The 27457-nt window shown below is 41.3% G+C and overlaps 2 long non-coding RNA genes and 1 pseudogene across 2 annotated transcripts in view; 2 read left to right on the forward strand and 1 right to left on the reverse strand.

Annotated features, from left to right (window-relative positions):
- Positions 1-27457, forward strand: part of LINC02389 (long intergenic non-protein coding RNA 2389) — a 93749-nt gene that overhangs the window by 52637 nt on the left and 13655 nt on the right. The window lies entirely within an intron of this gene.
- Positions 1-27457, reverse strand: part of LINC02231 (long intergenic non-protein coding RNA 2231) — a 71447-nt gene that overhangs the window by 15566 nt on the left and 28424 nt on the right. Inside the window, exon 3 of the long non-coding RNA NR_146276.1 lies at positions 21344-21447. This is a non-coding gene — a long non-coding RNA (long intergenic non-protein coding RNA 2231). The remainder of the gene's footprint in view (positions 1-21343; positions 21448-27457) is intronic.
- On the forward strand, positions 2613-2707 carry RNU6ATAC42P (RNA, U6atac small nuclear 42, pseudogene; annotated as a pseudogene).

The following is a 27457-nucleotide window of genomic DNA, read 5'->3' on the forward strand; positions in this document are numbered from 1 at the left end:
GTAATTAATGATCAGTTCACTGCACTCTTCTCAGCTGAGGCTTGGCCTTAGACACTTAGTTTCCCTGCCTCCAGATTATTTTCTTGGACTTGTGAGCGATAAGTCATTGGAATGGAAGAAAGTCTTTATACACAAGTAACTTCTATGTTCTGAAAGAGAAAGGTAAGAGGTGCCTCAGCCTTGGTGTTAAGCCTGTGAGACCCTTTGAGCCATGGGGGCAGAGGCTGCTGGCACTCGCCCTGGAAGACAATTTAATCCAGGTCTCAGCCATCCTTGAAGTTTTTTGCATGGTCTTAGTGAGTCTGTGTGAGCATCACTTCAGATGTGGTGAGAAGCTTACATGGAAACTATTACATCAAAACATTTCATTTAGTTGGGGGACTGTTTGGAAAAATCCTATTTTTTTTTGAAGGAACAAAGAGAAGTTGATGAAAAGATTTGAGGTTATAATGACCAAAGTCTCCACTGCCTTCCTTCCCTCCCCTCCCCTTCTTCCAAAATGAGAGAAAAGAAATAAAGCTGGAGAAATATCTTGAATGTAATAAGTCTGGCAGGCCAGGCTTTTAGTGAGGATAGCGTGTCATTGTAATACCTTTTAATTATAGCTGTATAATTATAAATAGGAAAGAAATTAAAAGATGAAAATGTGGTTTGTAATGAAATTACCATAAATACCATGGCAGACTTTTAAGTTGTCATGCAAATTCATAATACAAAAACATGAATGTGGAAGTTAATTTCTCCTAAAACTAGAAATTAAAATTTTGTGGACTCGTGGTCTTCCTTGTTAGCTTGGCATTTCCTCCTGAGTACACATAAGCACTGTTAGTTATGCAGACATAAACAGACCTTTAAAGAGTTAGTGTCCTGGCTGGCAACCCTTATGTTCTCCAGGCCACCTGGGCAAGCTGACATAGAAATGACTCAGGTTCCAAAGACAAATGGTGGAGACATGAAAAGAAAGCTAGTCCAATTGCCTGGACATTTTCAGTTACTTCTCCATTTGGAAGCAGGCATGTATTTTGTTTGTGATGCACGAGTTTATCTAGCCCTCTTTATTTAAAAGCCCATTTTACTTCCCATTGAACTGACACATTTTCATGATTGAGGATAGGGGATCATAATTGCAAATTGCTACATTGGTCCTGAGGCCAAAACTCAAGGTAGTAGATTGGAGACTTAGACAGCTTACATCATCCTTTAGTGCCTTCATGCTTCCCACAGGCTAGCTCCTGTTTGTTGAAATACTGCTCATGGGGTCAATATCATGAGGTCAACTTCCTAAGCCTGTTCCTTAGCTGCACACTACTAAGACATCTTAAAAATGTGAAACCTTGATTCAAAGAGAGATCAAATAAGTGAGTCTGGCTCACTCACTATTGCAGACCTTTCTCTGACATTGTGAAAATGCTTAACACATGTACAAGTGATGGTAACTTGTGCCCTCTTTTTGCATATGAAAGAGACTTTTTTCTTTTTCTGAACCAAGAACAATTATTTTGCCATTTTAAAAAATACCATTGGCCTATGGGCTAGCACAATCAATTAAGAGGTATAATTTTATGCCTCTGCTATGAATAAGAGGTTATGCTGTGATGGCTACCTAAAGATAGGACAGCAAAGTAAATTTGAGGATGCCAAATAGAAAAAGATATTCAGGAAATAAAGGGGTAAATTGGAGAAGGCCTTGTATACTGGACATTTTTTTTTTTTTAAATATAGATAAGGAGACCCATGGAAGGTGTTTAGGCAAGGAAGTGACATGACAAAAGTGGTATTTTGGGATAAACTGAAAGAGAATAAGTAGGAAGGTGTTCACTGCCTGCCCTGTAGATTCTGTGGGAGCAGGAACACAGTGGCAACCGCCTGGCCTTAGTGTGATTCTGTGGGAGCCCAGCTGTTGGGAAGTGACTACTAGGGCTGTGTAGAAGGTCTGGCTCCTGAGAATTCTCTCCTCCCTCATCTCACTGTCTCCACCCAGTGGGCCAGGAGATTTCAAGTGAGGGATGTCGCCCTCTAAGCAGAGCAGTATCCCAGGTGGAAGAAAAGGGGGTTCTTGGAGGGCAGAAGCACCTGGCTGGGGATGTTTGCAGCTGTGTGTCATAGTGGAGGTGAAGTTTGAAATGGCCTCAAGGGATTGGTCACATTTCTCTATACCCCTTTTTAAACTCTGAGGAAAGGATCAATCTAAGACCTAGGTGACTTTGATTGGTCCCTCCGTCCAGAGCCACTGTGCTAGCCAAGCCAGCAGATGTGCTGAATACATCATGGGGGAAAAATATGGATAAATAGAGGAATTTGATTGCTATAAAATGAAGATAAGCTGAACAACCTATAGCAAAGGAAGTTAGAATTAGTGGACCAGAGACATAAGAATATAAAACAAACATAAATAGCCACAAACGGGGGAAAAGATAAAAATATCAGAAATAGCAAAAAGAAATGAGCATCACAAAGAATATTCAACTAGAGAATTGGGTAATAAGAAAGCAATAGATGAAATGAAGAACTCAATAAAGGGATTGAAGAGCAGAATGTAAACTTTGGATTAACTAATCAATGACCTGGAAGTCTCAAACCCCTAGGCAGCAGTAAGAAAGAGAAGGACTGCAGTGTTTTTGAAAGGACAAAAGGTTAGCACTACCCTTGACAAGGATGGAAGAGGCCCTCAGGCCTAAAAATTGAAAAAAAAAGATGAGGACTTCATAAAAAAGAGAATTAAATGATATGGCATATAAAAATAGAAATGTCAACATGATAACAATCTCAGAATGAGCCTGGGCAAACATGGCGAAACCCTGTCTCTATAAAAAAATGAAAAATTAGCTGGATGTGGTGATGCATGCCTGTGGTCGCAGCTACTCAGGAGGCTGAGATGGGAGGATCGCTTGAGCTGGGAAGGTCGAGGCTGCGGTGAGCGGTGATTGCACCATTGCACTCCGGCCTCCAGCCTAGGTCACAGAGTGAAACCCTGTCTCAATTAAAAAAAAAAAAAAAAAAAAAAGTAAAGTCTCAGAATGAGAGAGAAACAATAAACAGTAGTGGAGAACTATTTTGAATTAATGATAATCTACATAGAAATACAGATAAAAGCTTTAGATTGAAGGGGTTTCGCCAGTGTTGTACAGTAGAGATAAGAAAAAAAAATCAACACCTAGATACATTACATTATCAGGAAATTTAAGAACTTAAAAGAAGATTCCTGAGAGCAAGAGCAAATGACCTTGAAAGGAACAAGAATAAGCTGTCATCACACTTCTCAATAGCAACACCGGATGCAAGGAGACAGTGCAGCCATACTTCCAAAGCACGAGAATTTTGCTCCTGGGTTTTATACCCAGATACATTATCACTGAAATGCAAGGGGCAAAATGAAGATATTCTTAGGGATGCAAGGTCTAAGAATGTTTATCTTGCAAGGACATGCTTTGAAATGCTGCTGTAGGACAAAAGGTCATTCTAGGAGGATGATAAGAATACTGGAAATGTGTTAGTCAGTGCCCAGTCGGGAAGACAGAAATAATTTTAGATCATTCAAACTGAAAGGGATTTAATGTGGGGCGTTGATTCTAAAGATGTTTGGAGGAGCAAAAGGGAAAGGGTGTTCTACCCAGAGCTCAGGGATCTGCTAGCATACCTGGGAGAGAGTGTATGAGCCACCCTCACTGGGGTCACTGCTGGAACCATGGAGCCATTGTCCACCAGTGCCACTGAAACCACAGGGCTGACATTGAGCAGGAGCCACCTACCTCTGCTGCTGCAGCTGAGGCACTGTCAGAAACAATGGCCCCACCCTTATTTCTACTTGCCAGTCAGGTGCAGTTCCCCCAGATTGGCAGAACCAAATTTAACTTTAGCTGTCAAGGAAGTCTGGGGAATGTGGCTTTCTGCTTACCTGTCTTCCAGAGGAGAATATAAGAGAGTGAGTATGGGGCTAAAGGCCAACAGACAAATATCTGACCTTGGAGCTAAGGGTCTGTAAACAAACTAGAAAAGTTAATTCCTGTCCAAATGAAGGGAACAAAGAGAGAAGACAAGAAAGGCACACCCATTACAATCTAGTACAAAACCCGACAATACCAATATGACCAATACCAACGTGACCAACTAAAGCAACTGTAAGATACCACTTTATGGACATCAGAGTAGCAAATATTATAAAATTGAATGATTCCAAGTGTTGGCAAGAATTTAGGGGAAAAAAGGCATGTGAGAGTTAACTGGTACAGACACAATCTAGCAATACTTAGAGAAACCAAGGGTGTATTTATATTCTGTATGATCCATCCAACTGACGCCTGGGAATATACACCAGAGAAACGCCTGCAACATATCCATAAAGGGCCGTAATCAATTATGTCCCCTGCTACCTTTTATGTGGTAGCAGACAGGTAGATGAGAAATTAGGTGTCTATCACTAGGAAGTTGAATAAACAAAATTTGATGGGGTACATACTATGGAATATACACCAGGTATATAGGAACACTATGGATAGACAAAAACATAGTGATAGGTAAAAATACAGATGATCCCCAACATAGGATGTTTCGACTTAGATGTTTTGACTTTGTGATGGTTGGACATTTATAGACATTTAGTAGAAACCATACTTCCAGCACTCATACAATCATTGTGTTTTCTGCTTTCAGTACAGTATTCAGCAAAGTATATGACCTGTTCAACACTTTGTTATATAATGGGCTTTGTGATAGATAATTTTGCCTAATTGTGGGCTAATGTAAGTGTTCTAGGTTAAGCTGTGATGTTCAGTAGGTTAGGTATATTAAATGCATTTTCAATTCACAATATTTTCAACAGTAACAGGTTTATCAGGATGTAACCCCACCATAAGTCAAGGAGCATCTGTGATAAAAAGTAGAATAAGACTTTTAGCACAATTTACTATGAAAAATAACACACATACACAAAAATCACTACATGGCTTTTAGGAATAGTGTAGTGGGTTGAATGGTATGTCCACATTCCCAAAAGATATGTCCACATTCCCAAATTGTGAATGTGATTTTTTGGGTAAAAGGAGTCTTTGCAGATGTAATTCAGTAAGAATCTCAAGATGATATCATCCTGGATTATCTAGGGGGACTTTAAAATCCAATGACAAATGTTCTTATAAGAGACACACAATAGAGGCAGGGGACTGTGTGAAGACAGACAGAGATTGGAGTGGTTTACAGGTTGAATGTACACAGCAAGTATACAAATGTATATAGAAAGCAGACCTTTGGCTAATATTAACTTTATGGCACAGATAAACTTATAAACTGTATTATTATAAGCCACAAGCCAAGGAACACATGGAGACACAAGAAGCTGAAAGAGGCAAGGAATGGAATCTCCCCTGCAGCCTCCGGAGGTTGTGTGACCCTGCCAACACCTTGATTTTGAGACCTCTGCCTTCCAGAGCTATGAGAAAATAAATTTCTGTGGCTTTAAATCACCAAGTTTGAGAAAATTTGTTACAGCAGCTACAGGAAGCTAATGCAGACAGCTATCCAAGAACATACATTGGCACACATTACAGTGTCTATGGTGAGGAAGGTTAGGGGAGTGGAGTGGATGAAAATGGGTAAAAATAAAATGAAAAAATGAGTCTTGGACAAATTAATGAGACAGCCTGCCACAACTGAGGCATATGACCAACTCCATGTACCTGAGGTTTTAAAAATGTAATTTCCCATTTCAATTTACCATTTCCTTTGAATTCTAGAAGGATTATATATTTTCTATCTTTGCTAATTGGGGTTTTTTACTTTCAAAGAATAATCTGGTCATGGACTGTATATTTGTCCATAAAGTTTCCTGATTTTCATGATAATTGTTTTTAATAATAATTTCATAATTGGATGAGCTTTTCACATATAAGATTATTAGCTATAGGCCGGGCGCGGTGGCTCACGCCTGTAATCCCAGCACTTTGGGAGGCCGAGGCGGGTGGATCATGAGGTCAGGAGATCGAGACCATCCTGGCTAACAAGGTGAAACCCCGTCTCTACTAAAAATACAAAAAATTAGCCGGGCGCAGTGGCGGGCACCTGTAGTCCCAGCTACTCGGGAGGCTGAGGCAGGAGAATGGCGTGAACCCGGGAAGCGGAGCTTGCAGTGAGCCGAGATTGCGCCCCTGCAGTCCGCAGTCCGGCCTGGGCGACAGAGCGAGACTCCGTCTCAAAAAAAAAAAAAAAAAAAAAAAAAAAAAAGATTATTAGCTATAAATACATTAGCATATATAAGCTACAAATATATATGTCATATTAGCTACAAATGTACAGTATTAAGTCTGTTGCTTAGCTTTTTCCTTCTGAGTGATATATTTTTGACCTACACAAGTCTGGAATTGTTATGTAGTTAAACACGTAACAGAGCGTTCTTTACAAGTTTACCTGTGCCATAAAGCAAACCTTAGGCAAAAGCCTGCCTTCTGTATACATTTATATACTTGTCTGTGTACATTTAATCTATAAATCACAGTAAAAGCAACTTAGCAGAGAAGGAAGTGATTGGTCTTGATTTGAAATCCCCCCAAATAAAATCTCTGCAATAAATAATGGCCCTAAGAAGCTGTTGGCTGGCATTTATGGTGAAATTTCATTTGTATGTTTTATTCTTCATTCATTCATATCCTTTAATAAAATGTGAATTTGAGAGCTTCTTTGGGCAAATACTATTGATATAGACAAGATAATAAATAAGGACATAGGCAATGATGGCCCATGGCCTTCAACTTCAACAATGAAGATAATTCAAATGTGGGTTCTCTAGAACACGAATTTTTGTTGGTTTGCAATCCTTATTTCCTACAATTCTGCTTGGCCTCAAGAATTGAGACTCCACCTCCACGCTCTTTTCTGACTAGTCCCTGATGGTTCTGAATTGGTTTCCTGTGACTGCTGCAACAGGTTACCACAAACTTCGTGGCTTAAAACAACACAAATTTATTCTGTTAGAGTTCTGGAGGTCAGGACCATGAAATCAGTTTCACTGGGCTAAAGTTACAGTGTGAGCAGACCTGGTTCCTTCTGGAGACTCTCGGGAGAAACCGCTTTCTTGCCTTTTTCAGCATCTGGCAGCTGCTTATATTCCTTGGCTTGCGACCCTTTCCTCCATCCTCCGAGTGTAACACTCCCATCTCTGCTTCCATTATCACCTCCTCTGACTCGAAGTCCTCCTGTTCCGCTCTCAAGAGGACCTTGTGATTAGATCAGGCCCACCTAGATGATCCAGGATACTCTCCGTATCTCAGCATCCTTAACTTAATCACATCTTCATGTCCTTTTTGCTAGATATGATAACATTTACAAGTCCGGGGATCAGGATAGGGACACATTTGGGGGCTGTTATTCATCCAGCCATAGTTCCTGACCACAGTGAGGCAAACATTCTGAATTTCATTCCCACAACACTGAAGGGCCTAGATTTGCCGTGTTGCAATAAGCAATCCTGTGGTATGTGTGGGGTGAGTACTAGGGCTGCTGTGAGCCCGCCAAACCACAGGCTTCCTCAACACCTGTCGTGTTGGGTCACATTATAGAATTAATGTTCCTCCTGGGGTTCTTTTCCTGTTTATGACCTCAGGTCCACTGCTGGCCTAACCTTGGCAGCCTCCTACTCTGGTGGGCTGCATGGTGTCACCCCATTATCAGCCAAAACGGCCAGGGGACTGGCTATGAGTCACAATGATGCCTCTACTGACCACAGTGGATGAGACCTCTGGATTTGGGCATCAGCTGTTTTGCAGTCCACATTTTTCTCCTCTGCGCTTGGTCACATTACAGTCACAGTATTATTACTGTTGCCCATTCTTGAGGACCAGGGTCACAACCTGCCCTATCCTGCTTTGTCCTGGCTCTCCTGTCATGAGTGATGACAGCTTGCAGCCAAACTGTGAATGCTGTCCTGGGAAATCTCTCTGAAGGTTTCTAGATCTCTAAAGCTATAGCGTGAGGTTACAGTCAGCCTGCCTGGGATCTACAGAGGTTGGATAGCAGTGACAGGAGATTACCTTGGCGAACTGCACACTGGGGTCTTCTTCCACACTGTTCCCTCTTTCCCTTTAGGACCTGTCCTCGCTCCGAGTATTAGGTAGCTATTGCTGTGTTACAAATTACCCCCAAACATAGCAGTTTAAAACAAACATTATCTCACAGCTTCAGTGGGTTAGGAATCTATATGTTCTGGCTATAACTTCCTGTTCTTCACAAACCTACAGTTAAGGTATTGGCCAGGGCTGGAGTCATCTCAATGTTCAACTGGGATTGGATCTGCTCCCAAGCTCACTCACATGGCTGTTGGTAGGCTCAGGTCCTCACTGGCTGGGAACATTGGTCCCTTGATTTATGGGCCTCTCTATAGAGTATTACAATATGGCAGCTTATCTTCTGCAGAATGAGGGGTGGTGGCGGGGGTGGAGGGAGAGAGAGAGAGACAGAGAGAGAGAGAGACTAAGACAGAAGCCATGATCTTTTTTTAATTATCTAATCTTGGAAGTGATTTTGCTTCTGCCTATTTCTATTTGCTAGAAGCTAGTCACTAAATCCAGCCCACACTCAACGGGGATGGGATCATACAGGCAGTAAGTACCAGAAGGCAGGGATCCCTGGAGGCCACCTTAGTGGTTGCCTGAAACATCCCGAGAGGAAGTCAGGGAGAGAGAATACCATCTGCTAGGAGTGAGCAGAGTTCACATGAGTTGAGAGGGGCCATAGGGACCCTGAAGATAAGGTGTGTCATGAGCACAGTTTCCTGGGACCTCGATTGTTGTGAGCATTGACTCATACTTCCATGTACATTGCTCCCTTTTGGCCTGGGCTGCTCTCTGAGCTCTATTTTATTCCTGTGAAGCATGTAATCCTAGCTACTTGGAAGGTGGAGGCAGGAGAATCACTTGAGCCTGGGAGGCAGAGGTTGCAGTGAGCTGAGATTGTGTCATTGCACTCCATTCTGGGCGACAAGAGTGAGACTCCATTTAAGAAAAAATAATGTTGCATTGGGTTGATGTTTGAAAATATATTACAACAGATGGGAAAGGGATGAAAACACCTGGGAATCACTGAGTCAAAACAACTCATCTGGGCATGCATAAAATGTTATCTCATTTTTTTTTTCTGGAGTAGAAAGAACATAGACTACAGAGCTTGATAGATCTAGTTTAAATTCCAGTTCTACCACTTACCAGCAGAGTGACCTTATGTTTTTTTCCTCATTTGAAAAATCTGGTAACAATACATAACTCTCTGGGTTGTACTGGGATTGATCAAACAATATACAAATGCTCCTCAATTTATGATGGGGTTACATGCTGATAAACTGATCATAAATGGAAAATATCATAAGTTAAAAATGTATTTAATATACTTAACCTTTTGAATGTAGCACCTTAACCTGGACTTACCTTAATCTTGCTCAGAACACTTACATTAGCCTACAGTTGGGCAAAATCATCTAACACAAAGACTACTATAATAAGGTGTTGAATAGCTTATATAATTTATTGAATACTGTACTGAAAGTGAAAACAGAATGCTTGTATGGGTACTTGAAGTATGGTTTCTACTAAATGTGCATCACTTTTGCAACATCATAAAGTAAAAAAAAAAAAATTGTAAGTTGAACCATCATAAGCCAGGGACTACCTGCATGTGAAATGCTCATGGTACACTGCATGGTACCCAGGAGGCATTCTAACTACAGAGCTCTGTACCCTTCCTTTCCCTTCATTATCCAGTTATCCGGTACGTGCATAGTGCTGACGTATCTTGGCATTGGCTAGCCAATTATCCAGAGCATCCCAGCATGCATGCAAAGAAAACTGCTCAGTGAGAATGGCTGTCTTTGTAAGGAGAATGTAGGGCTGGCTCTCTGCCTAGGATGCAGGGGTCAGTGGGGCTGCCGCCAGCCGTCTGCAGTGTTAGCCAGGGAAATCAACTCACAGTCCTCCTGGCATCTACTGCTGGACTTGGGTAAACATAATTACAGCCTTTAAAAAGAGAAGAGGGAAAGCAACCAAGATCCCCACTCACCATGTAAACAGGATGTCCACTGAATGGCAGCATGGAGATGTTTATGTTCTGTTCAGGGGACAATTGACAAAAGGCCTCTGGGAGCCTTTATTGCTGCCTGGGGCAGTGGCCTGCCAGCAGTGGTGGGGCTTGGGTTCTTCTGGGCATTGTGTGATTGTGAATGCTGAGCTTCAGCTGAGAGCTCTGGGGCTCTGTTGTCTGTAGCTGGGATGCAGTCCTTTGAGACTCTGGGTTGGTTGCCTGCCAAAGGCCCTTCATACAGATAAGGTCATTCTGGTGTCCAGTGCACAGTTTCCAGCAGGCCTCCAGTGACCTATGAAATAATGATCTTAACAACAGCCACCACTTAGAGCAAGGCAGTGGGCTAAATACTTCACATGGATTATCTGATTTACCTTTCACGATAACCCTTTGCATAATTTTATCATCCTCATTTTATAGCTGAGGAGGCTCTGCAAATGTAGGCCACTGGATTTGAAGTCAGATCAGCTGGATCCTCAAACCTGAGCTTAATAGTAAGCTAGGTGAAGGCAGGGACTATCTGTCAAGTTCAGCATGCTATCTCTAGGGCCCAGCATGTGTCTGAGAAAACATTTATTGACGAAATGACTAAAAAAAAAATCTACCAAAATGCTGTCCTCCACTGACTTTCTGCAGCACGTATTTTTTTTCCCCAGAGTGAGATTGTGTTGCACTATTTGTTCCACATGTCCCTGCTTCCACCGCAGTGACCCAGGGCACACATTGGTCAATGATGGCTGCCGTCGAGTTTTGGGTACCTACTGAGGCATAAATGTTGTGGAGTAATTGGACATGTGTCAAACCACGAAGTCAAATCTTGCTTCAGTCCAGTTTTCTGTGGAATTTTAGGCAAGGAAAGCATCTTTTGGGACCATCAAATGCATCCTGTTCCTGAAGGAGCAGAAACAGTGAAAGCGGACACTTGTCTCAGCTGGCCTCTGTCTCTAGCATGAAATCCCTGGAGAGTGATTTTGCAGCCCCTCTTCCAGAACACAGGTGGGTTTGAGTGGAGTTGTGAAGATAGCCTGAGCATGTTTCTCAGAAATGTCAGGAGGTGGTCCTTCTACCTTTAGAATTCTAAATAGAATTGGCCAATACTTGAGTGAAGGGAGGAGGCAAGCTTGCTTGTAGAAAGAACTAGGGCACTGACATGCCTACTCCAGAATACAGCATGGCCCTTCTCTAAAGTCTGAACTTTTAGATCAGAGGGAGACACAGCCTTCAGCCTTTCCCTTCTCCATTCAGGTCTCCTTGTGGAGAGACAATGAGTGGTGGCAGGAACTCCCCTGAAATGGATCTGCCTGGAGCTGAGGCCATAATTACCTCAATGTTGCTAGCATGTCACAATCAAGAGCAGGTCGTTGTTTTTAAATGGTCAAAGTTGTAGGAGTATCGCTGAAAAATAAAAAGCATTTCAAAGACTGCCCAGATTGGTGGTGTTTGTGTTGTTTGGGTGATGGTAAGATACTGGAAATGAAGAGGTCTTGTGTGTGTGTGTGTGTGTGTGTGTGTGTGTGTGTCTTTGTTGTTGATGGTGAATTTTTTGTCATGGTAACCATTACCTTCTGAGCTATGGACCTCTGTCCCAAGATCCTGGAGCCGTAAATTGTTGAGGTGTCCTGTTGAGACACACGAGACCTGCAGATAGGCCTGGGATTTCAGGAAGCAGTCTGCGACCAAAGGTATCCTTCAGCATCCTTCTCAATGGCCTCTTTTCCTATGTTCATTCATTCCTGCACCCAGCTTGGCCTTCTATCATCTTGCTGTCCTGAAGCCCCTGGCTGTGTAGTCTAAGCTCCCACTCCAGGAGGTTTTCTCACAGGGCCCAACCCCACACAGCACAGCGGCCTTGTCCTGCCCCCCGGCATGCTAGTGTGTGACGTTCTCTTTATCTTTCTATATGAAGAGAAGTCCTATACTTGTTCATACCACTGTACATTTGGAATAGGCTGGAAGGACATTTCCTGGGCCTCTAATCACTTCTTCTGCCCACATTTCCTATACAACCTGGCTTGGCGTTTCTACTTCCAATCTGCTTGAGTCAGTGCCAGATTTGGGGCTTGATGCTGTGCATATGTCACCTGCTTCCTAGTCTCAGCTGCTTATGCCACACACACACACACACACACACACACACACACACACACACACACACACTCCCCTACATCCAAACTCTGGCTGTACTTAGAGCATCCTTCATTTAAGGGTATAAAAGTCGAGTATCGTGAGAGAAGGATGGGATGGGTTATTTTCTTTGGGTCAGTTACCTTTTGGTTTAATAAGCAATATCCAAGAGGCATGAAGATAATAGTCCCTGGTTGGAGAATCTCCTTTTTGTCACTCTTAATATTTCCCCTTTGAGTTGCCATTGGATACGTATACTCCATCAAGTCTGGAGTCCAACCTCACAGGCATGGGTTTGGAGCTAAGCTTCTGCTGACTGTCACATTGGGCAGGCAGTGGGGACCACAGAAGTTCCAGGTGAGCTGATGGGATTTAAAGAATAGTCTTGGAATTAGGGATGTGGAAAGTATCAGTATTTATCTTTGGTACAGGTGGCCTTCCTGTTCTGGAACCAAACATTTTCCCTCAAGAAACTCTTTTTCATTCTCAAGTCACATCAGCCATAGTCACACATGGGATCAATCCCCTACTGGTTTTTATTATTGTGACTGGGAATTGTGATCCAATCCACTCCACCAGCCCACTACCCGCTAGCCTTATTGGCCTATTGCAACCTACCCATGTGTGTGGCCAGGGAGGGCTACGCTCCTTCCCTCTGGTTTCTGTTTTCCCCATGGTTTCCATGTGGCTGCTGCTGCTGCTGCTGCTTCCTCTTGGCTCTGCCCCGGCTCCAGCCATCTTCCCTATCACTGGTGGTTGCTGCTTCTGCAGGGCTCTGATTCTAGGAGTTTCTCTTACAAGGCACAGCTCCACAAAGCAGAGTAGCCTTGTCCAGCCTCCCTGGCATGCTAATGTGTGACACTCTCTTTATCTTTCTATATGAAGGGAGGTCCTATACTTGTTCCTGCCACTGTACATTTGGAATAGGCTGGAAAGAAATTTCCTGGGCCTCTAACCACTTCTGCCCACATTTCCTATACAACCTTGGTTGGCGTTTCTATTTCCAGTCTGCTTGAGCCAGTGCTTGAGCTTGCTGCTCTGCATATATGTGACCTGCTTCCTAGTCTCATGCCTGCCTATATAGCACAAACACTGGAGGTATACAAACCTTCGAACCCCATCTATGCTGCCATGGCTCCAGAAAGCACCATGATCCTTCCAAGCTTGGCTAAGGGTTCTTTACAGATCAAAATGGAAGGACATTTTTTGCCTCCTTAAGTGACAGGGCTTTCCACCAACCTTCCAGTGGAAATATTCCTATGATAATTCAGTTTCATAACTAGCTTGCTAGAGTTCTAGAGAAGCACCCCAACTTATGAATAAGTTCAGGTTCAGGAAATGAGGCAAGATTGTTCAAGTGTTTGAGGCGTGAAGCTCTGATCATCAACCCCAAAGGTTTCCTTTTCCCCTCTCTCAGGGAGTCTGGAGCCCTCAGCAGTTGAAAACTTTCCTTCATGGTCTTCTTGAAAACTCTGAGTGCCCACACATAACACAAAACTCCCGTTAGCAGCATTTTCATTCACAAGGAGACCTTTGGGGTCCATACAGATTTTTTTTTTTCAGGCTAGCCTAAAAATTGTATTTTTTGAAAAAGAAAAAAGACATTATCTGTAGCTTGAGAGGCAGAAATTGTTTCTTTTTAAAATGCTTTGTTGTACTTTCTAAGTTTTCTGCACTTTAAAAAAAATAAGATTCAAAGAACCCAGCACATATTTACTGTTAAACCTGAAAATATTTCTCAACCCCACTCACTTAAGAATCTATATAGTGGGAATCATGTTTTCTAATGCCCTTAATTGTCTTAAAAATTTATCTGTTGGTTGTCAGTTAAATAAACACCCAGATGTGCTATTTTATAGATCATACAACATATCAAATGTACCCCTTTTTATCCTCTGTATTCTGCATGGCTCCTTGGTCCCTGGCTTTCAGAGCTAAGCTTAAGTTCTTTGTCAAGGCAGGTTAACTATAGCAGACAGAGCTCTCATCTCCTCTCAGCTCAAAGGAGTAAGTGACTGTTGTGGTTCATCTATGGGAAACTGTGCTAGCAGAGCTTTACTTTCCTGGACCTGCCGCAGAATGAGATAGAAAGGGAAGGAGCTATAGCCACAGCATCTGGGAAGGCTGTAGTTCCTGCTGATGCTCTTGGCTCAGTCAATAGAAGAACAAACATGAGGATCAAAAGGATGCTCATAAGAGTCTTTGTGGAAGCTGTGGAGGGCAAAAAAAGAAGGGGATAAGATCTGAGTAGAAAGAGACTAAAAATGAATTCAAATTCATTAGCGTTGCTGGTGGAGACTGTTAATGATTCAAAGTATTTATTTGGATCAGAGAGTCACGGGACTGTTCAATTGAGTGTTTATTTAGAAAAATAGAGCTAGCAGACTCTCCAGAAAGTATAAATTGGGCTTTGGCAGGAAACCAGCTTCTTTTTGCCATCAGAATGTCATGCGAGCCTCAGGAATGGCAAACATCTGTTTGAAGGATATCCTGACCTTGAATCAGCAGAAAACTCAGAAGAAACTGCATCAGGATTTGATGTGTAGTTGTCATTTAAGACAGCAAGTGCAGTGGGCATCATTGTGGCCAAGTATTAACAATGGACCAACTATTCAATAAATATTTGCTGAATGTCTACTATGTGCCAGTTACTGCTATGTGCTGGGGATACAATAGCTACTAGGACATACCTATGGCCCAAATAATTTATTGCTTCACATAGACACTGGGATAAAAGTTCACAGTGTGTTGTCATGAATACACTGTACATTTACCGTGTTCTTTTCTTGTGCAAGTTAGAATTTGGTGGACAATTACAATGGATATAATATACATCAGTAAGAGAAGCTAAGCCTAGCTCACTATCTTGTACTGCCTAGTTAGCCATTTTTTTTTTATCTCTTGACCATTTACTCATTAAAATATTGGCAGGCCCACTGAGGGTGGTTGTGTTAAGATTAAAATTATGAAAATACCCTGAAATTCATGAGCATAAGTTTGCTTTTGCACATTATGCAATGTGAAAAATACTTAGTTTTCAAATTTTTAAAAACATTTCAGAATTGTAGCTTGTAGTCCTAACAACTTGGAAGGCTGAGATGGGAGGATCACTTGAGCCCTAGGAGTTCAAGACCAACCTGGGCAACATAGTGAGATCTTGTCTCAAAATAAATTTTTTTTTCCAGAATTGTAGATAAGAAATGATGGACTTAGAGTACTAGTGAAGAGTGTACAGTGTAATTCAAATAATTTATTGCTTCACATAGATACTGGAATAATAGTTCATAAAATGTGTTGCCATGAATATACTATACTTTTGCTGTGACTATATCATCAGATTTACCTAGAAAACAATAGATTTTTTCCTTACAAACAAATTTAATTGGAGGAAAATCACCACCACCTCTTACTGATCTTTTGCCATTCATGTTTGGGTTGTTTCCCATGTTTCAAGGCTGGTATTCCCTTGGGATTGCTCTGCTAGTCGACTTCTTGTGAACTGTAGTGTGAAATAGGAAACAGAATACCACCAGAGCCACACTAAAGCTTCTGAATTGGAGCCAGGAAGTATTTAATTTGATGCACTAAACAGCATAAAGCCAACATCCTGGCTCATGACCCCAGTGGTATCAGCATCAACAGCTGGATGAAAGCAGGGGTGGGGGGGATACAAAGATGGGTTGGTGAATACAACCCACTTGCCTTGAGTCTGCATTTGTGCATCCCAAACTTCTTCCTGGCTTTGTACTTTCTGTTCCCTCTATCTGGAACACACTTCCTTACGACTTTTGAAGAACCAGTTTCTTCTCATCATTTAAGCATCAGCTGTGATGACACCTCTGAGGGAGGCATTCCTTGACCACCCTATTTATTTATTTCAGATGGAGTCTCACTCTGTCACCTAGGCTGGAGTGCAGTGGCATGATCTTAGATCACTGCAACGTCTGCCTCCTGGGTTCAGGCGATTCTCCTGCCTCAGCCTCCTGAGTAGCTGGGATTACAGGTGCCCACCACCATGCCCAGCTAATTTTTGTATTTTTTTTTTTTAGTAGAGACAGGGTTTCACCATGTTGCCAAGGCTGGTCTTGAACTCCTGACCTCAAGTGATCTGTCCACCTTGGACTGCCAAAGTGCTGGGATTACAGGCGTGAGCCACCATGCCTGGCCAACCAACCTATTCAATGTTGTCTGCCTTCAGTCACTCTTTATAACATTACCTCATTTTTATTTTCTCCAAAGAACTTCTATACAATGATCTTGTCATTTGTTTGCTTATTTACTTGTTTATTATTTTTCTGCTTCACAGAGTAAAGACCTATCTGACTTGTCCATTGGATCCTTAGTCCCTAGAGCAGTACCTGGCACATTAAGGGGCCAAATAAATATTTGTTGGATACATGAATGACCCTTGTGATATCACTAGTTTCCCTATTTTATAATGGCTGAACCACTCTCATCCCAACATCTCAGTGATCCCTTTGTGACAAGTGTCCCAGAAGAAAAATATTGCAAATGTGGGAAACATGATGGGTCACAAAGTGTGGTAGAATATTACATCAGCTTCATAAACTGTGAATCATAAATCATGGTTCCATCTGTTCTGTGACAGAGTGAAAACAGCAAAATTTTCCACAAGATAGAAACTAAAAACAAAGACAAGTCACAAGTTTCAACTCATGGAGTACCTGTTACTATTATTTTGGATCGTTTCCCCTGTCCTCTATTCTTCAGCAACCATTTCAGTCATGCTGTGCCTTTCTGGAACAGGCTCAAGAATCTACTCGTAGTAGATATTGGTTTCCTCCAATCTAAACGTTTTTTGCCCTATAACTTCATGCTTGGCACAGAGAAGCCACTCAACAAATATTTGTTGACTACCAACTGTAATTTCCACTATTATAGTATTCTTCTTTGATTTTTTAAAATAAAATAAAAATATCCTTTAGAAAAGGTAATCTGCTTATAAAGAAAGCCCATTTATTCACACTCTAGTATTAATCTCATTGAAAGATTTGATGGAGTATAGAGTACAGAACAGTTTTTTGAACATGGATTATTACAGGAAAAGTCTGGGTGTGGCAAAAGGTGTCCTGAGGAGTGATGGGATGTTAGGGCATGAAGAAGAATGAAGAAGAGTGTCCAAGACAACTGGTTCATGTTGCAATTTTACTGAAGGTCAGCAAAGTGGAGAATGCTGTTCTGGGAGAACTGGATGCCTTCAGATTGTGCCAGGTAAAGGCAAGGGGTCACCAGGACCTCCTTGGGTCAACCAAACCACTGTCTCAGTATCTAGGAGAAATTAGATTAAAATGAAGAGCAGTACACAGATGACAGTTCTGAGAAGCTTCTCAAGAAACTCATAGCAGTGATTGCTCCTGGAGAACAAAAATGAAGGATGATAGGGTGGTGGGTGGTCAGTAGAATTTTATTTTCCTCCTTATAATTTTTTCTAGAGTTTTAATTTTTTTCCCATGAGAAAGTATTGATTTCACAATTATAAAATTCAAAAATTAGTAAAAATCATTCTTTTTTAGATTTAGCCATATTAAAATTCTAGCTTAATAAAAATAAATATCAAAACAAATGTAATAAAATAGCACAGTGCTGTGGTTTGAATATTCTCAAACACATATTGAAATTGAATTACCATTAGGATGGTATTGAGAGATGGGATCTTTGAGAGTGGCTGGGTCATGAGGGCTCTGCTTTCATAAATGGATTAATACTGTTATTGTGAAAATGGGTTCCTGATACAAGATTAATTTCAGCTCTCATTTTTCTCTCGGTCTTGTATGCTCACCTTTTGATGCTTTCCCCCATGTTATGACACAGTAAGAAGGCCCTCACAAGATGCAGACTCTTAATCTTGGGCTTCCCAACCTCCAGAACATGTCTCTTTTCTTTTTAAATTACTTAGTTTCTGTGGTATTCTGTTATAGCAGCAAAAAATAGAACAAGATATAGGAGGATGTCACAGCAAGGTTGAAATTAATATATCATGATAGAAGAAAAAACCTTGCATTTGTAAGACACAATTATTCATGCAATTTTTAAAATCTCTGTAGAATGTTGTTCAACCTTCTCAAGACATAATAGCAGCACTGAAAGCAGACCCAGTAATGGTTCTAGAACACAGATCCTTCAGGCTTAAGCTTCTCTGACATATGGGCCCTACTCTACTCATTCCATTTTTCTTGTGACCTTCTTTCCTTTTTTCTCTCTCTCATTACCAGTTTAGACTGTTGCCTCTCTGAGTGATTTGAATTCAAATCCCTCAAGAGAAGAACTGATTTGTCACTACATGGTATTCAGGGTAGGAATAATTTCCTGGCTTTCTTTATTCCCCTTGTATCTTTGCCATAAAATGCAGTCAGCTAAGGGCATGTGTAAATGCATCTGATTTTTTCATCCTGAAAGTTTCTAACACACACCTCCTGCACTTAAAAAATCCAAATACTGATTCCTTACATTTAGAGCACACTAAATAGATTTTCAAGCCCTCATATGCACTGCCTTAGTTCATCTCTGGCAGAGAGGGGCTCTCCTATTGTGATCTCCTTCTAAAATGAAAGGGCTGTTTAAATCATAACTGCATGTAGGGAAAGAAGGTTTGCACACAGGTATGAAGGTATTATGATCTACAGCTGTTGGGGAGTAAAAGGTTTTTCCAACTACTGTCTGCTTCTGGAACAGTGGACCTTGTTTAGTCTAGAAGTCACTGAGCAAGCAGGGCACCATGGTTGTACCCAAGCGTTAGTCAAATGCTTTCAATAATTGTGGTTTGTGTAAGAGAAGAATTGTGCAGAGTTGGAGTGATATTAGGGTTACATCAAAACTTTTTTGAGGGTTTTCTTCATTTTCTTCTCCCACAGTTTAGAAAGGGCAGGAGACTCTCATGTGGGAGAACTATATTAGGTGTGCCTTTATTTGGAACAGAGTGAAAGACCACAGAGACTGAGCCATCTTCTGCTCCTGTGATTTTGTTCAGCGTTTTCACACGTTAATGTTTGTCTGACTTCTCCTTAATTGCAATAAGTTACAGCCCCCTCCCCAGCCTTTCAGTAGTTTGTTTCTAAAAAACTCCTTGCAGGCAAACTTCTTGTAGGTTAAAAAAACACAAGGAATTTACATTGAAATTAACAACACATACTTACTTTAAAAATTAAGTGTATATACATACATGTAATTGAACCTTGGCAGAGAGACCTATCTGTCCACCCAAAATACATTCTTCCCCCTCTATAGGGGAGGTCTGAGCTCTGACATACAATAAAGAAGGGAAAGTGTCCTTGAGGGTCATTGTCCAGACAAAAGGCTACATTTTCCAGCCTTTTTGCTGCAAATGTGAGCATGTGACTGCTTCTTGCCACAGAAGTGAGATAATATGTATCACTTCTGGGCTGGGAACATCTGCATTGAACTGAATAACAAGAAAAAAACTTTATTTTGCAAAGCTACTGAAATTTGAGGTTTATTTATTTCTTAAGCTGAGGGTCAGGAAACTTTTCTGTAAATAGCCAGATAGTAGATATTTTGGGCTTTGTAGGACACATACAGTCTCTGTCTCATATTCTTCTTTTTGTAAAAACTACTCTTGACTCACAAGTTACACAAAAACAGCTGCAGGTTTAACTAATTCAAGTTTTTAATACAATAAAAAACAACAAAAAACTAACACAATGAAAACAATGTAAATGGTGCATGAGATGTCACTACTATTAACTAGCAACCTATGAGGACTCAGGGAGAAGACCCTTAGGTCACCTTAGCCCACCGTTCCACCGTGAAAATAACTGCACTGTGGCTCTCCCATTGTGGTGCTTAAGTGCTCCCAAGTCAGTACTATTTAATTGGTTCTCATAAATACAGGAATGCCTCCAAAGTTAAAGTTGAAGCAGTACATGAAACTAATAGAAAAGTAAATTCCTACAGCCTTAATTGGAGTACCTCAGAGTGTGGCTGCTTTACTGCTTTCTCTCCCACTTTCTCAGCTTTGTCATCATACAGCATTTCTTATACTATTGCTATACCTAGTTCAGTGCTAGATCTGACCGGAGTCTTCCAACAATGCATCGACATCCACCAGCAGATCTTGAAGCTCTGCGTGGTAGGACTCCAAGATGGCGTCTACATTTCCTCGGCCCCCACCCTCACACTACTTGTCATGGTTGCCAGACTCCCTGTTGGTATGCAGGTATTGTCAGGCTTGGCACCTTCCATTCCACCCAGGCCCTTGTCTCAGTTGGCACAGAATCCAAGACCACACAAAACTTTTAGGAAAGTTATTGTCCAACAATAGAATGAATAGATAAATGGTAGATTATTCTGCAGCAACAACAATGGAAATTTGGAAGAATTGAAAATAGTATGAGAAAAAGCTTATAACAGCATATTACATAAAAACAGCAGAATTGCAGATTATATATTCAAAATGAATTTAATTGTGTAAAAACAAAGACTTGAAGGAAGTACACTAAAATATTAACAGTGGTATTCCTGGGTGGTAGATTATGAGTGATTTTTTTTTCTTTTTTCTTTTTTCTTTTTTTGCGACAGAGTCTCCCTTTGTTGCCAGGCAGGAGTGCAGTGGCGTGATCTTGGCTCACTGCAACCTCTGATTCCCTGGTTGAAGCAATTCTCTTGCCTCAGCCTCCCTAGTAGCTGGGATTACAGTCATGTGCCACCATGCCTGGCTAATTTTTCTATTTTTAGTAGAGAGGGGGTTTCACCATGTCGGCCAGGATGGTCTCGATCTCCTGACCTCATGATCCACCTGCCTTGGCCTCCCGAGGCTGGGATTACAGGCATGAGCCACCACACCCAGCATTATGAATGACTTTTAAAAAATATTATTTTCTATGTTTTTTGAAAATATGTACAAATGACTGGAGTTTTTTTTTAATGACTGAGAAAATAAAAAGTAGTTCTTCCTATAAAATCTTTGGAGAGCTCTGCTGTCCAGAGTGAGTTCCCAGCCCAACTCCTGTCCTCTGAGAGCTTAGCTGGGAGAGGAACATAAGTCACCCTCAAGCCTATGTTCAGAACAGGAACAGGACAGGGAAGAGGAGGATGAATGGGAATCCGACTTAACAATGAGGTTTGAACCAGAGGGAATGTGGAGACCCAGAGCAACCTTGGTTTGGTGCGATCCATTTCTTCCTACCTGCAAGTATTCAACTTGTTTCAGATCCAGTTTCTTATCTCAGCATATGCCCTGCATACTCTGCTTGTTCTCTATGCCCTCTCTTCACTCCTTAAGTCATGGCACTGGAAACAAAGGAAGCAAGAGAGACTTTCAGACTAAAGCTGTGTGCTCATCTCTTGTTCTCACCCTTCCACATTGAGGGCCAGGGCAGAAGCCTGTCTGCACTCTGTTCCTGCACCCCCACACCCACAGAACAGCCCCTTCATGATGCATCTCATCTTTCTTGAGGGACCACTGTGGGGGCTATTCTGTGTCTATCCCCACATAGCTCATCGTTTCACTTGTTTGTGCACATGTATGCACATATATGCAAGTGCTCCTGAAAACATTTATTGGAACACATGCTTAGGCATAGCCTTCATTTATTCTGCCAGTTAACAAATTTCCCCCCTGCTTTGTGTAATTGCTGCACTTGGGGACAAGTGTGCTGGCTAAGGGAACAGTAAGTGCAAAGGCCTGGAGTCAAGAACAGGTTTGATTCTTGCCCTCCAGTTGTTCCCATTGTAGTGAAAGAGACAGATCAGTAAATAGGTAAATGCAATGCTGTATGATGGACATTTATCACTTAGCATTTATAATTAACATTGACATTTAAAAATGTATGTTATTTATCGTCTTGGTCCCCGATAGAAAATAAGCTCCACGAGGGCAAAGGTTTTTGCATTTTTTTTTGTTCATTCAGTGTCTCTAGAACCTCAAAGAGCTACAGGCACATAGTAGATACCCAATGTTGTTTGAATGGAAGAAAAAACCCCACATTTATCCCTCTGCTCCCATTTTCCCTCCCCAGAGGCAACTGGTGTTATTAGGCCCTGGGAGGAGTGTACTATTTCAACAGACCACCATGCTCTCCACCAAACTTTGACTTTGGTACTGCAGGTGAGTCTCTGAGTATCCCACAATTTGGGGGATTCTACTTGCCAGGAGGTGTAGGGTGCTGTCCACCAGCTGTAATGTTGGCTGCAATTGGCTCTGGTCCTCTGAGTCTCATAAGGACCTGGGTACCCTTTTTGACTGTGGTGCAAAGGAGGAATCAGGGACTGGCCAAACTCTGGAGACTGCATTCAGGCTTTGGTGGGGACTTGGCATTTAGGAAAATACAAGCCTGCTGCCACGTATCGTGAGGCCCTCTCCTTCAGCTCATCGCCTAAGCTTGATAGGCAGGGAACCTGGCAGGAGATAGTCTCTGTATGTGAATGTGTAAAACCTGAGCTGCATGGAGCCCTCAGTGCCACAAATGTCAGGAGCCTTTGCTTTTGGAGTGGACTTGATGTATGGCCCTTGAGCAGGACCCTGACGAAAGACCAAATTGCAGGGTCAGGGACCTGGTTTCCATCTCAGAAGAAATATCTTTTTCAGAAGTACTCAAGTATCCACAGATTATCTGAGGAGTCTAATTGAATTTTCCTTTATTCCCTTTATAGATAAATAAGGCCTGAATTTTATACTTGGAGCAATTTACAATTTAAAATTTACAAGTATTAAGGAAATAAATTAATAATTACTAAACACCCATTATCCTTGATGGATTAATTATAAACTATGGTCCAAAAAGTTTAAAAGTGCCCAAGACCACACAGTTATTAAGACCTCAAAGAGCTACAGACACATAGTAGTTGCTCAATGTTGTTTGAATGGATGAAAAAACCCCCACATTTATTTATCCCTCTGCTCCCATTTTCCCTCCCCAGAGGCAACCAGTGTTGTTAGGCCCTGGGAGGAGTGTGTTATTTAAACAGACCACCATGCTTTCCACCAAACTTTGACTTTGGGACTGCAGATGAGTCTCTGAGTATCCCACAATTTGAGAGATTCTACTTGCCAGGAGGTATAGGCCACTTAATTAGTTTTAGAAACTTGGATGCCTCCAAGTTTCCATTTATGTTTCATTTTGTTTCTGTAAATCCACTTGGTCAAATTACTACATTTTTGGATTCTGAGTATCTTCCATAAAGCCTAACACATCATAGACTCAACAAATCTTTTTTAATAAACAGAAGAGGCCGGGCACAGTGGCTCACGCCTGTAATTGCAGCACTTTGGGAGGCTGAGGTGGGCAGATCACCTGAGGTCAGCAGTTCAAGACCAGCCTGGCCAACATGGCGAAATCCCATCTCTACTAAAAAAATACAAAAATTAGCCAGGCGTGGTGGTGTGCGTCTGTATTCCCAGCAACTTGGGAGGCTGAGGCAGGAGAATTGCTTGAACCTGGGAGACAGAGGTTGCAGTGTGTCAAGATTGTGCCACTGCACTCCAACCCGGATGACAGAGTGAGGCTCCATCTCAAAAAATAGACAAAAATAAAAATAGAAGAAAAAACCTTCATTAGTCACAAAGACTTTTTTTCTTAAATTTCCAACTTTTAAGTTCAGGAGTACATGTATAGGATGTGCAGGTTTGTTACATAGGTAAACGTGTGTCACGGTGGTTTGCTGCACAGATCATCTCATCACGTAGGTATTTAAACCCAACATCCACTAGCTATTCTTCCTGATCCTCTCCCTCCTCCAACCCCATGTCCTCCGACAGACCCCAGTGTGTGTTGTTCTCCCCATGTGTCCGTGTGTTCTCATCATTTAGCTCCCACTTATAAGTGAGAACATGTGGTATTTGGTTTTCTGTTCCTGTGTTAGTTTGCTAAGGATAATGGCTTCTAGCTCCATCCATGTCCCTGCAAAGGACATGATCTCGTTCCTTTTTATGGCTAGATAGTATTCCATGGTGTATATGTACCACATATTCTTTATCCAGTCTATCATTGATGGGCATTTAGGTTGAGACCATGTCTTTGCTATTGTGAATAGTGCTGCAATGAACATATATGTGCATGTGACTTTATAATAGAACGATTTCTATTCCTTTGGGTATATACCCAGTAATGAGATTGCTGGGTTGAATGTTTTTGTTTCTAGGTCTTTTAGGAATAGCCACACTGTCTTCCACAATTGTTAAACTAATTTACACCCCCACCAACAGTGTAAAAGTGTTCCTTTTCCTCCACAACCTTGCCGGTATCTGTTGTCTTTTGACTTCTTGATAATAGCCATTCTGGGCCAGGAGCAGTGGCTCACACCTGTAATCCCAACATTTTGGGAGGCCAAGATGAGCAGATCACACGAGGTCAGGAGTTGGAGACCAGCCTGGCCAGCATGGAAGAACCCCGTCTCTACTAAAAATACAAAAATCAGCTGAGCGTGGTAGTGCACGTCTGTAATCCCAGCTACTTGGGTTGCTGAGGCACGAGAATTGCTTGAATCTGGGAGGTGGAGGTTGCAGTGAGCCAAGATCATGCCACTGAACTCCAGCCTGGGCAACAAAGCAAGACTCTGCCTCAAAAATAATAATAATAATAATAGTAATAGCCATTCTGACTGGAGTGACATGGTATGTCATTGTGGTTTTGATTTGCATTTTTCTAATGATCAGTGATGTTGAACTCTTATGTTTTTTGGCCTCATGTATGTTTTTTGAGAAGTGTCTGTTCATGTCCTTTGCTCAGTTTTTAATGGTTTTTTTTCTTGTAAATTTGTTTAAGTCCTTTATAGATGCTGGATATTAGACCTCTGTCAGATGCATAGATTACAAAAATTTTCTTCCATTCTATAGGATGTCTATGTAAGCTCTTTAGTTTAATAGATCCCATTTATCAATTTTTGCTTTTGTTGCAATTGCTTTTGGCATCCTTGTCATGAAATCTTTGCCTGTGCCTATGTCCTGAATGGTATTGCCTAGATTTTCTTCTAGGGTTTTTATAGTTTTGGGTTTTACATTTAAGTCTTTAATCCATCTTGAGTTAATTTTTGTGTATGGTATAAGGAAGGTCTCTAGTTTCAGTTTTCTGCATATGGCTAGCCAGCTCTCCCAGCACCATTTACTAAATAGGAGGTCCTTTCCCCTTTGCTTGTTTTTGTCAGATTTGTTGAAGATCTGATGGTTGAAGTGTGCAATCTTATTTCTGAGTTTTTTTTTTGTTTTTTTTTTTTGACAGAATTTCACTCTGTAGCCGAGGCTGGAGTACAGTGGCATTATCTCGGCTCACTGCAACCTCTGCCCACTGGGTTCAGATGATTCTCCTGCCTCAGCCTCCTGAGTAGCTGGGATTATAGGCACCTGCCACCATGCCTGGCTAATTTTTGTATTTTTACTAGAGACCGTATTTTACAATGTTAGCCAGGCTGGTCTCAAACTCCTGACCTCAAGTGATCTGCCCATCTCGACCTCCCAAAGTGCTGCGATTATAGGCGTGAGCCACTGCAGCCCCTCTTTCTGTGTTTTTCACTCTGTTCTATTGGTCTATATGTCTGTTCTTGTATGAGTACCATGCTGTTTCGTATCCTTGTAGTATAGTTTGAAGTTTGGTCGCATGATGCCTCCAGCTTTATTATTTTTGCTTAGGATTGTCTTCGTTACTCAGGCTCCTTGTTGGTTCCATATGAATTTTAAAATAGTTTTTCCTAATTCTGTGAAGAATGTCAATGGTAGTTTAATGGGAATAGCACTGAATCTATACATTACTTTGGGGAGTATGGACATTTTCACAACATTGATTCTTCCTATCCATGAGGATGGAATGTTTCTCCATTTGTGTGTGTCCTCTCTGATTTCTTTGAGTAGTGGTTTGTAGTGCTTGAAGAGGTCCTTCACTTCCCTTGTTAGCTGTATTCCTAGGTATTTTATTCTTTTTGTAGCAATTGTGAATGAGAGTTCATTCATGATTTGGCTTTCTGCTTGCTTATTGTTGGTGTATAGGAATGCTAGTGATTTTTGCACACTGATTTTGTATCCTGAGATTTCGCTGAAGTTACTCATCAGATTAAGAAACTTTTGGGCTGAGACAATGGAGTTTTCTAGATATAGGATCATGTCATCAACAAACAGGTTTAGTTTGAGTTCCTCTATTCCTATTTGGATGCCCTTTATTTCTTTATCTTGCCGGATTGCTCTGGCCAGAGCTTCCAATACTATGTTGAATAGCAGTGTTGAGGGTATCCTTGTCTTATGCCAGATTTCAAGGGGAATGTTTCCAGCTTTTTCCCATTCAGTATGATATTAGCTGTGGGTTTGTCATGTATGGCTCTTAATATTTTGAGGTACAGGTATGTTCCTTCAATACTTTGTTTATTGAGAATTTTTAACATGAATGGATGTTGAATTTTATTGAAAGCTTTTTCTGCATCTATTGAGATAATCATGTGGTTTTTGTCTTTAGTTCTGTTTATGTGATGAATCACATTTATTGATTTGCATATGTTGAACCAACCTTGTATCCTGGGGATGAAGCCAACTTGATTGTGGTGGGTAAGCTTTTTGATGTGCTGCTGGAATTGTTTTGCCAGTATTTTATTGATGATTTTTGCATTGATGTTCATCAAGGATATTGGCCTGAAGTTTTGGTTTTTTGTTGTATCTCTGCCAGATTTTGGTATCAGGATGATGCTGGTCTCATAGAATGAGTTAAGGAAGAGTCTCTCCTTTTCAATTTTTGGCAATAGTTTCAGCAGAAATCGTACCAGCTCTTCCTTGTACCTCTGGTAGAATCAGCTGTGAATCTGTGTGGTCCTGGGCTTTTTTTTTGGTTGGTAGGCTATTTATTACTGCCAAAATTTCAGAACTAATTATTGGTCTATTCAGTGATTCAATTTCTTCCCAGTTCAGTCTTGGGAGAGTGTATGTGTCCAAGAATGTGTCCATTTCTTCTAGATTTTCTAGTTTATCTGCATAGAGGTGTTTCTAGTATTCTCTGATAGTTGTTTGTATTTCTGTGGGGTCAGTAATGATATCCCCCTTATCATTTCTGATTGTGTTTATTTGATTCTTCTCTCTTTTCTTCTTTATTAATCTAGCTAGCAGTCTATCTATTTTATTATTTTTTTCAAAAAACGAGCTCCTGGATTTGTTGATTTCTTTGAATGGTTTTTCGTGTCTCTATCTCCTTCAGTTTAGCTCTGATCTTGGTTATTTCTTGTCTTCTGCTAGCTTTGGGGTTTGTTTGCTCTTTGTTCTCTAGTTCTTTTAATTTTGATGTTAGTGTGTTGATTTTAGATCTTTCTAGGTTTTGGATGTGAGCATTTA

This window comes from Homo sapiens, chromosome 12 (genome assembly GCF_000001405.40).
Source record: "Homo sapiens chromosome 12, GRCh38.p14 Primary Assembly".
Lineage (NCBI taxonomy): Eukaryota > Metazoa > Chordata > Mammalia > Primates > Hominidae > Homo > Homo sapiens.